Genomic DNA, 10,934 nt, shown 5'->3' with positions numbered 1-10,934 from the left:
TCAACCCATTAGCCTGTGCCTCAGTTATGATCTTGCTCCAAAGATCTCCTTGCCCTGCTTGCCTGGAAAGAAGAAATTGGGACAGTCACACAGGGGTCTGGAGTCCAAGTCTCTTATCTTTATTTTAACAGACTGGCAGCATCAGGTCGCAGCAGCAGTACAGGGTTCCTGGCTGGGCAGCACAGGCCTGGGGCGACAGCTCCTGTCTTGTCTGCCCAGGGCAGTGTCAACTTAGGCCTCTACTCCATGGCTGTGAAAGGACAGCAGCCTCAAGGCAGTCTAGCTCCTGGGCACAGGCAGCCAAACCCCCTCCCATATCCAGCTAAACCAGCTCCAGGAAAGGAGAAGGTCCTGTTTCCCCGGCATCCTTGGGGCCCAGGGACTGGTTCTTTCACCGGATGATCTTGCCTGGTTGAACCACAGCAGCATTTGGGCTTTTTCACCCTTTCCTACATCAAGAACTTTCCCAAATGTGGGCCCTGGGGCCCTAGCAAAACAGTGGCCTTGGCCACAGGCTCTGGGCCTCTGGGAGGCTCCCATCTGGCATCAGGTGGCGGCACAGAGCAGGGCTGTCAGCACGGGCAGAGAGCTGGGCACAAAGAGTAGCCAGACGGCAGGGCGTGCCACAGGGCTCCGAGGGTGGGTGGCCCTTATGGTAGAGAAACCAGAAGGTCTGGAAAAGTTGCATGTCGCCCCGCATGCGATATACCAGGTTGTGCCAGGCGGTAGGCAGTGTGTTGGGCAGCCCATAGGTTTCTCGAGCCCTGTAGAGAAGCTGCCAGTGCGGTATGGCTCCCGGTATGTTTGCCTGGGTCAGATTCAGGATGTAGGTCTCATGGTCCAGGACCACGTGAGAGCTCCCGGAGTAGTTTCCATCTATTTGGTACACACGGTAACCTGCAAGGATGTGGGGCTGACTGGAGGGGCAAGGAGCAAGGGTAACTCCAGGGAGGGGCCACACATCCTGCCCATGCTTTGCAGGCTCTGGCTCCAACCTCCTTCCCCTATCCCACCAACTCCAGGATAAGGGAGGCTCCCTTCTGCCTCACTCACCAGGATTAAGGCCGATGTAGGTAGTTGCACTGGGTGCCAGGAAGGCTACAGCCAGCGGCCGGCTCAGAGTCTCTTCATCATAGAAGACCTCAAATTCATCCACATGAGTGTGGCCAAAGAACTGAGCAGCCAGGGTGTTCTCATACCTGGCCAGAAGGTACTACATTCAGAAGATTCTAGGGAGGGGTAGGAAGACATCTGGGGAGATAGGATGCCCTCTTTCTCCAACCTGTTCTAGTGAGGAGCCTCCCCACTCCATGGGACAACAGGGATGGTGAGATGCTCAAGGGAATTTTCAGCCTTCAGACACTCACCCTGTCCCTATTCCCACCCTCATCTCCGTCCTACCTGGCTACAATTCGGTAATAATTCCAGCTCCAGCTCTTCAGACAGTGCCCTGGGGGAATGTGGCCAATTATATGCACCTAGTAGGGAGAATTAAGGATGGTAATCAGGGCATCCAGGGGTCCAGGCAGCCCTGGCTAGAGAAAGGGGGACTGAATGAAGGCTTTCAACAGTGACCATGAGCTGAATCCCCAGGGAACACTTGTTGGGAATGCCAGGAAAATAAAACTTCTGTGCCCAGAGGTGCTCCAGCTCAACAGGAGCCTGCTTGTCCCCCAGCACCACCGTGTTCCCACTACTGGCCCTCACTTTGTCTCCTCGATCCTCAGCAGCCTGAAGCTCCCCCACCAGCCACTGGAGCTGTCCTGCGGGATCCGTGGAGTTGATCAAGAGCCAGAAGTTCTCACGGGAACAAAAATTCATATTGAGAGAGATGAGGCGGAGACCGGGGTATGGGGAAAGAGCATAGAACCCCCCAATTCTGAAACAAAGTAAACATGAGAGGTCAACACTTGTTCCAATCCTGGTCCTCCTGTGCTGGGCATTTGGGTGGAGGGTAAAAGCATACATGACATCTTCCCCACCTGCAAGGAGCTCACAGTCTAGCCAGAGACCAAACAGTTCTAATTATTGGGTCTGTGTGACACAAAAGACTCTGAGGGCAGAGGGCTCCAGGAGTATGGGGGAGGGATAAGAGTTAGCTAGAATGGGAAGCAAGGACCACACAGAGGGAAGATGACATGGGATGGATAAGGTGGGAAAAACTGGAGCACTTAAAAAAAAGGGGGAAATCATTTCCAGAGGGCCAACATGAGCAAAGACACAGCTGGGGCATAGAGAGGTTATGCTGCCAGACCTTTGAAGGAGGGTGGCTGGAGATAAGAGTAGAAAGGGAGGGCTGGAAAGCTGGGTGCAGTGGTTCATGCCTGTAATCCCAGCACTTTGGGAGGCCGAGGTGGGCAGATCATGAGGTCAGGAGATCAAGACCATCTTGGCCAACATGGTGAAACCCCATCTCTACTAAAAATACAAAAATTAGCTGGGTGTGGTGGCGTGCACCTGTAGTCCCAGGTACTTGGGAGGCTGAGGCAGAATTGCTTGAACCCAGGAGGTGGAGGCTGTAGTGAGCTGAGATGGTGCCACTGCACTCCAGCCTGGGCAACAGAGCAAGATTCCATCTCAAAAAAAAAAAAAAAAAAAAAAAAAAAAAGGGAGGGCCAGGAGCAGTAGCTGATGCCTGTGGTCCCAGCATTTTGGGAGGCCGAGGCGGGAGGATTGCTTGAGGTTAGGTGTTTGAGACCAGCCTGGGCAACATAGCAAGATCTTGTCTCTACAAAAACTAAACTAAAAAAAAAAAAAAAAAAAAAGCCTGGTGCGGCAAAACAGTAGAAAGGGAAGGAGGAGTCAGATTAGGGGAGCCAAATGAAGAGCACTAAGGACTCATGCTAGAGCAATCAGAGACAATGCCCCAGGTTCCCTTCTCCCTTCACTTTCATTCACCTTTCTTTTCCCTTCCTGGGTTTCCACGGACGATAAGTACCTGAGGGTGCGCAGGGCTTCGGCAGGCAGCCAGGGCTCCCAAGCCTTGGCCATCGCTTCATAGAGCCAGCGGGAGGAGTGGTTGCCCTCAATGAAGGGGGGAGGGAAGCTATTGACAGGTGTGCTTTCATGGTTACCCACAGCAGGGTACACTGGCACTGGCCCCAGGAACTTCCTCACAAGTGCTGTGACGGTGGTCAGGGCCCGCAGTTGGTCCTGACGAGTCTGGTGCCAGACATCATGTGCGGGGATGTCTCCTGTCCAGTACACCATATCAAAAGGGCCGGCTGGGCCCAGCCCACTCAACAGGCTCTCCAGGGTCCTCAGGGGCAGGTCACACTTGCTGTATTCGCCCCAGTATCCGGCACCTGGCCGGGATGCGGGCGGCAGGCCAGAACCCCGGCGGCAGCACAGTGGGTCTGCACAGTCAGGGTCCGTGCCCTCCAGGTAGTCATGATCCCAGTGCAGGTCAGTGAGGAAGAGGATGCGGCTGACAGGGGCACCTGGGGCTGGGGGGCTAGGGGGTTTGGGGGGCGGCTTCGGCACAGTAGGCAAAGAGATGTTCCAAGATGAGAAAATGTCCCAGTGCCCACAGGTGGAGCCCAGGAGCAGGCCACAGGCCTCAGATGGGCTCAGCACTGAGCGTCTCCACACCTCCACCATGTCATCCTCAAAGAGGTGGACAATGGATTGGCACACGGCAGGTGGTGCTATCTTCAGCAGATTGCACAGCTTGATGGCCACGGAGCCCACGCGAGCCACATTGGGTTCCTTCTGCAGTGGGAGGAGCGCATGGTGAGAAATCAGAGGCAGAGCAGAGGAACCAGGCCAACCCCTGGCCACCACCCCTTGGGCCTCCATTTCCAAACTGGGGCTGGGCAGGACTCAGTGCACCAAGCTCAGTGCACACCTTTGCCTTCCAGATATTGCCCTGTAACTCAGGCAGCACCAGGCCATCGCTTCTTCTTTAGCTCAGCGGCCTGTGGCATGAGGCCTTTGCTTGGCAAGCTGACTTCCTCAGGCACTGTCTGCATTATTTTCTTACTTCACAAAGGTCACAATGGGGTGATGGTGGCATGTAGCCATGGGTGTCCCCAAAGGGGAGCAAACTCAGTGATGGATTGTAGATGCCACCCTCTCCATCAGGGATGCATTCTGAGCCCAGCGCACCAGCATCAGCCCCAGCCCCCAGCCCCAGCACTCCTTTCGGCCTCCTCCACTGCAGCCCCTTCAGTGCTCACCTTCAGCCCGAGGTTGATGGCGGTGAATAGACCTTTGCAGATTGGGCAGGTGAGGTTCCCCCACCCAAAGACATCTCGGAGCCGGGGCACTATGCGATGTAACCTGGCAGGATGGCCTTGGGGAGAAAGAGGGTGAGCCTCTGCCGGAGCCCAGAGAACCCGAGAGTCAGACAGAGCCAGCGCCAGCGCCAGCGCCAGCGCCAGCGCCAGCACCAGGCCCATCCAAAGGAGTCCGGGGGCTCCGGCGGTCCCGTCTTGTCCCTGCTCCCGGCCGGACCTGGGGCAGCTCTGGCGGAGTGACGCTCCGTAGCGGGGCATTGTCGCGCTTCCTACACGGGGCTGGTTCGTCTGTCCCGTCCCCCCCGGCCTGGACCCTAGCCAGCCCTCAGGGCCCCGGGCGGCGCCGGGGACACCCGATTACCCTTCTCTGTAGTCGGCTGACTGCTCCGCGGCCGGCCGCAAAGCAGCTCCGCCCCTTCCTCTTCCTCTGATCTCTGACAGCTGATCTCTCGGTGGCGGGCGGCTGTCAACGCTGCGGAGGCGGAGGGGGCGGGGCGCTCCCGGGACCGCCCCGATTCCGCCCCCTCTCCCTGCCCCCGCCCTGCCCCGGGCGCACGGGCTGCGGGGGTGGGGACTCTCCCTGAGGTCACCAGGGGCTCCGCCTTGAGGTCACAGCCGCGGGAGGCCGTGCTCGTGCTTTGGAGCTCCATGTGATGTGGTCGGTGGAAGACGTCTCCTTTGTCAGAATCCGCGCTCAGATTCCCGGAATAGCTGCCAGACCGACCCCAGCGTTTAGCCCGGGAAGGGGAGGTAGGAGAGAGCAGGGCGGGCAGGATCCTCCCACTGGGTGTGTTGCCTCTGACAGGAAGGCGCCTTCCCTCGATTCCCCATGCTCTGCCACTGGCACCAGCCCTCTTGAGTCACCCTGAGAATCACTCACCTGTGATTCAGATGAGGAAACAAACCTTAGAGATGGTGAAGAGACTAGGAAGCCGTAAAGACCATATAGCCGTGGGGGCCAATAACATGGGCGGGAACCCAATTGGGTCTCCCACCTCCGTGTATCCACGACAGTAAAAGCGAGCATTTATGGAGTTGTTTATGATGTGCCAAGCACCAACCCAGGCACTTTATAATTAATAATCTTCAATTCTCACAACAACCCTAAGAAGTACCTATTATATTGGGGCTCAGAAATCCATACCCAAAATATGGTGGTTTGACTTACTAAGTTAAGCCTTAAGGTGTGTCTGGCCTTCCTACTCCCGCGCCCTCTCTCCCAAAGCCGTTACCTAGCGTCCAGACCCATCAAAAGGAACAACGGTTTTTTTCTTCCCCTCCCTACAAAACCAAGAATATAATCACACCTGAACAGACCCCTTCACATGATAATGTGCTAGTTAATCTGTTCCCTGATCCATTCCTTCTCCCTCAGCAGAATTCCTCTTCCCCTCACTCCCACAACCCCCTTTGCCTGAATGACACCTAAGCTTCTGAACTCGTCTGGGAAGTGGGTAGTCACTCTGTGGTTCCCCGTGGACACATTAATACAATTTCTATGCCTTTTCTTCAATTAATCTGTTTTTTGTGGGTTGATTTTTCAGCAGAATTTCAGAGGGCGAAGGGAAAGTTTCCCTTGGTCCCTGCAAATACTATTATTACCCTCCTTTACAGATAGGATGAGGCACAAAGAAGTTAAGTGGCAGAATAGCAATTAAACCCTAAGCTGTTTGACGAGTGCTTCTGAGGAATCCTCAGAGCTATCAAGTCCTGTCAGTTCTTTCCTTTGATAATTTTTTACAAGTGTTTTTTCCCCCCAGTTCTGGGGACATCATCTCAGATAGAGTACTCACAGTAATAATTAGCATGCATTTTTAAGATTATGTACTATGAAAAACAAAACAAAACAAAACCTTTTTATCTAAGGAAGATGAGCCCCTTTAAATTATCAGGCCCAGACAGGCATTTAAAATGTAGCAACAGTCACTCTCACTCTTCTTTGAGCTAAGTAATTATCTCTTGAAACCACTTGCTATGCCAAGTAGCCATTAAATGCCATACACCTTATAGTTCAACAATGTATAGCCAAGCGCTAAACAATGTATAACCAGTGTTATTTCTGTAAACAATGAGAATTCCTGATGAACAACTTTTGTATTCATTTCCTCTCCTAATTCATCTTTTTTTCTTTGAAAATATGAGCCTCTCTTTTGTTGTCCAGAGTGCTCCCCCAAGACAACTTGCAAGTGTGTCCTGGGTCGCAGTCCTCAACCTTGGCCCTTGGCCCGAATAACCCTCTGTAGGTACTTTTCTGAGGACTCTGCCTTACGTTAATCCTCACAACAAATTTGGAAGTCGGTATTATAATTATCCCCATTTTACGGAGAAGGAAAGTAGGATTAAGTAAGTGGCTCAAGATCCCACAGCTAGCTAGTAAGTGCTGGAACTGGAATTTGGATGTGTCAAGCAAAACATGTCTGAGACAGGTCTCAATCAATTTAGAGGTTTATTTTGCCAAGGTTAAGGACATGGCTGGAAGAAATAAACACGGAATCGCAGAAACAGTCTGTGGTCTGTGGCTTTCTCCAAAGATGATTTTGAGGGCTTCAATATTTAAAGGGGAAAAGTGAGCTGGAGGGAAAGAAGAAGGGTATGGTAATCCACATGTCGCAAGAGAAAAGGAGCAGGTAGGGAGATACTCAATTATGTGTTCGTCTGGCACTTTACATAAGATAAAGTAAATATGCCTGTGGAGATATTTAACCTTTTGTGTTTTTTTTGTTTTTTTTTTTTTGAGACAGAGTTTTCGCTGTTGTTGACCAGGCTGGAGTGCAATGGCGCAATCTCGGCTCACCACAACCTCTGCCTCCCGGGTTCAAGTGATTCTCCTGCCTCAGCCTACTGAGTAGCTGGGATTACAGGCATGTGCCACCACACCCGGCTAATTTTGTAAATATTTAACCTTTTGTCTGTAGCTATCTGCTTAGGAACAAAAGGAAAGGCAGCTTCTTGCATGACTCAGTTTTCAGTTTATTTTTTTTCCTTTTGGCATAGTCAACTGGAGTCCTGAGTTTTTATTTTCCTTTCACAAATGCAACATTCTGGCTCTATTCTTTGCTGTGTGGGGACCCATTCAGAACACCAGAGTTGGTATAACAATTATTTTAAGCCGAAGACATTTCAGATTCAATAGATGCAGAAATAAACCTTCTGGGAGCTTTCTTCATCTGATTAAAACTTCTGGGAAATGTCAACCTAAAGGGAAAAATCTAAGGCAAACTTGATATAAGTAGAGAGTTTATTTGGGCCAAGTTTGAAGACTGTGAAGCGAAGATTCAAGTTGCCCTGAGTATATGCTCCCAATTAGCAGAAGTCACAAGTGGGTTTTTAAAGGAGAAGAAGAGGCAGTTCCTAATGAGGACTAAGCTCTGATTTTTTCTTATCTTGCTCAAATTCCTATCGAAAGGGTCTGGGGAGTCATGCCCTACAAACCATAAATTCTTATCAGTTGGGTTTTATTTAACACTATATATTGTGACTGCCTTTTCAGTCATACTCTGGCATAAAATTACGTGATAAAGAAGAAAGTCAAAATATTTTACCCCAAAACATGTTTCTTTGCCATATATATATATATATATATATATATATATATATATATATATATGTTTTTTGGTTTGGGGTGGGGGGCGGGACAGAGTTTCACTCTTATTGCCCGGGCTGGAGTGCAATGGGGTGATCTTGGCTTACTGCAACCTCCCCCACCCAGATTCAAGGGATTCTCCTGCCTCAGCCTCCCGAGTAGCTGGGATTACAGGCACCCACCACCACCATGCCCAGCTAATTTTTGTATTGTTAATAAAGATGGGGTTTTGCCATGCTGGCCAGGCTGGTCTCGAACTTCTGACCTCAGGTGATCCGCCTGCCTTGGCCTCCCAAAGTACTGGGATTACAGGAGTAAGCCACCGCACCCGGCCACTTTGCCATATTTTGAAATGGCCCTGCAAAGTCGTACCTTATGGGGGAAAATTTACATCTGTAAAGAATCTCTAATAACACAGATCTTTTTCTTCTGGGCCCTCCAATCCTGAAGAGATTAACTGAGAGTCTAGCACCTTTTAAAGGTCTGAATAGGAAACATTTGTCGACTGTTGTCTCTAAGGGCAGCCACTAAGAGACTTCAAAGAACCTTGGTCTCCACAATCTTTTTTTTTTTTTTAAAAATGGCGTCTCACTCTGTCGCCCAGGCTGGAGTGCAACAGTGTAATCTCGGCTCACTGCAACCTCCGCCTCCCGGGTTCAAGCAATTCTCCTACCCCAGCCCCCCGAGCAGCTGGGACTACAGGCATCTGCCACCACACCCAGCTAATTTTCATATTTTTAATAGAGATGGGGCTTCACGATGTTGGCCAGGATGGTCTCCATCTCTTGACCTCGTGATCCGCCTGCCTTAGCCTCCCAAAGTGCTGGGATTACAGGTGTGAGCCACTGTGCCCGGCCTCCACAATCTTTTATCTTAACCTGAACATTTCCTTTCTATTGATCCCAGGTCTTTAGACAAACTCAACCAATTGTCAACCAGAAAATGTTTAAATTTCCCTATAGCCTGGAAGCTCCCCATCCCCCAGCTTCAGATTGTCCCACCTTTCTTGACCAAACCAATGTATTTCTCAAATTTATTTGATTGATGTCTCATACATCCCTAAAATGTATAAAACCAAGCTGCACCCTGACCACCTTGGGCACATGTTCTCAGGACCTCCTGAGGGCTGTGTCACGGGCCATGGTCACTCGTTTGGCTCAAAATAAATCTCTTCAAATATTTTACAGAGTTTCACTCTTTTCATAGACACTAAGTTGTTCACCAAGAATTTACATAAAAATAACATAAGCTATTGATTGGCTATGCCTTGTTCTTTGTATCATAAATCCCAGGAATGTGAAGATAAAGGGTGAGGCATGTCTGACTAGGAACAAACAATTGCACCCCACTTCTTGGTTTTGTGGGAGCAAGGGTGGGGGTGAGGGGTGGAGTGTATGACTGAAGTCCCATACTCATGTCTCTCTGGGCCTGATACATTTTGCGTACCTCACATAGTTCAGAGTGCTCTGAGCTATTTTTCTTTTATCAGAAATGAAGACTGCCATACATACCCTCTTCAGCAAGGCTTCCACTCTGAGGAGGGAGACCAAGAGTAAACTCAACATAAATACCCTTTTCAGGGAAGTTTAATGGCTCTGAAGAAGACAGGAAGACCACACATGCTGGCATAGACCACAGCATCACACACTTTCTGGCCTCATGTTTGTTCTTTTGAAAACCCTTTTGTCTTTCCTTAAGAAACCTCTTTCTCCCCTGGAACTTTCTCCCCTTTCCCTTTCTCCTACTAAGTTAGATGTGTAAGCCTTTTCCTTCCTTCCTTCCTTCCTTCCTTCCTTCCTTCCTTCCTTCCTTCCTTCCTTCCTTCCTTTTTTTTGAGACAGAGTTTCACTCTTGTTCAGGTTGGAGGGCAATGGCGTGATCTCAGCTCACCGCAACCTCTGCCTCCTGGGTTGAAGCGATTCTCCTGCCTCAGCCTTCCGAGTAGCTGGGATTACAGGCGTGAGCCACTACGCCTGGCTAATTTCAACCATTTGATGAGCCAGCTACTTCTTTTGTGGTTCCCTGTGCATATGAATAAACCCTTTTCTCCTGTTAATTTGTCTTTTGCCAGTTTAATTTACAGGCCTCAGCCACTGAACTTAAGAGGATAGAGGAAAAGGCTTTTCCTTCCTTATAGCTACTTCTTTTTCGTAACTGTAGGCTTGGATCTGTAATCTTCAAGGATTCAAATTTTGGCAGTAGGAAAAGGAGGGAGGAGGGATGTCATGAACAAAGTACAAGGCATGAAAGAGCCTGGTAAATTTGCTATGAAACGTCATCTCCCATTTCCCTATCAGGGATTTCAAGTTGCCTCATTTCTCCGTAATTGTTACTGTCCATTCAGGACAGTAGATTCAGGACAGAGATTCACTCTGTCCTTCCTTATGGAGGACACTGATGACCCCAGGGTCCAAATTTATTGATCTTCAAGGCCTTAGCACATACCCAGTAACAACATCTTTCCTGATCACATCCTCTTTTCTCATTTGCTGAGTCCTCTTTTTTTTTTTTTTTTTTTTTTTTTTGAGATAGAGTCTCGCTCTGTCGCCCAGTCTGGAGTGCAGTGGCACGATCTCGGCTCACTGCAACCTCCGTCTCCTTGGTTCACGCCATTCTCCTGCCTCAGCCTCCCGAGTAGCTGGGACTACAGGCGCCCGCCACCACGTCCAGCTAATTTTTTGTATTTTTAGTAGAGATGGGGTTTCACCATGTTAGCCAGGATGGTCTTGATCTCCTGACCTCGTGATCTGCCCACCTCGGCCTCCCAAAGTGCTGGGATTACAGGCATGAGCCACCGTGCCCGACCCGCTGAGTCCTCTTTTATGCAGTGTTTTCATACATGTTGTTTTTGATAGAACCATCACTTGCTGCCATATCACACACCCTTATCCTTCTGGATAGGTGATCAAAAGCCCGTCTTCCCTCAAAATTAATGACACTGTTCTCTAGGAATCAGGTTCTAAGACAGAGACTAATGAGAGAGAAATGTATTAGAAAGTGCTTTTTAAATGAACACCTGTGAAAGGAAAGGGAAGAAAGCAGACTTGGGTAAATGAGCAAGTTGATCTGTGATGCCGTCAGAGGTCTCGTTGGACCCCATAGGAGCGCTGAAG

The 10,934-nt window shown here is 50.0% G+C and overlaps 1 protein-coding gene and 1 long non-coding RNA gene across 10 annotated transcripts, besides 1 other annotated feature; one reads left to right on the top strand and one right to left on the bottom strand.

The window, feature by feature from the left end:
• Positions 99–4,621, bottom strand: SMPD1 (sphingomyelin phosphodiesterase 1). 8 transcript variants are annotated; one of them, NR_134502.2, is made up of 6 exons: positions 4,179–4,621; positions 3,592–3,711; positions 1,708–1,879; positions 1,402–1,478; positions 1,054–1,199; positions 99–917 (listed from the first exon to the last, which is right to left on the bottom strand). NR_134502.2 is itself a non-coding variant. In NM_001318088.2 (6 exons), exons 2-6 carry the CDS (start codon positions 3,066–3,068, stop codon positions 488–490), a joined length of 975 nt encoding a protein of 324 aa, NP_001305017.1. In that variant the 5' UTR covers positions 3,069–3,711; positions 4,179–4,621; the 3' UTR covers positions 99–487. The 8 variants fall into 8 exon arrangements, 6 of the variants coding, with proteins under 6 accessions (NP_001305017.1, NP_001305016.1, NP_000534.3 ...); NM_001318088.2 differs by having other exon boundaries at positions 99–897; positions 2,899–3,711; NM_001318087.2 differs by having other exon boundaries at positions 2,939–3,711.
• Positions 4,405–4,904: a silencer, noted in NCBI's record as "silent region_3099". NCBI's record gives its function as "represses an Ori minimal core promoter by ATAC-STARR-seq in GM12878 lymphoblastoid cells {active_cell/tissue: GM12878}" and the evidence as "EXISTENCE:reporter gene assay evidence [ECO:0000049][PMID:35858748]".
• On the top strand, positions 4,739–9,877 carry LOC124902624 (uncharacterized). Of its 2 annotated transcripts, none has more exons than XR_007062573.1 (2): positions 4,739–4,988; positions 9,681–9,877. It is a non-coding gene; the product is annotated as an uncharacterized LOC124902624 (long non-coding RNA). The 2 variants fall into 2 exon arrangements; XR_007062572.1 differs by lacking the exon at positions 9,681–9,877 and adding an exon at positions 6,980–9,005.
• Positions 9,878–10,934: the final 1,057 nt, after the last annotated feature.

The sequence above is a fragment of the Homo sapiens genome, chromosome 11 (genome assembly GCF_000001405.40).
Source record: "Homo sapiens chromosome 11, GRCh38.p14 Primary Assembly".
NCBI classification, from domain to species: Eukaryota; Metazoa; Chordata; class Mammalia; order Primates; family Hominidae; genus Homo; species Homo sapiens.
The sequence above is the reverse complement of the archived record's forward strand: the minus strand, read 5'-3'. Positions and strand labels throughout refer to the sequence as shown.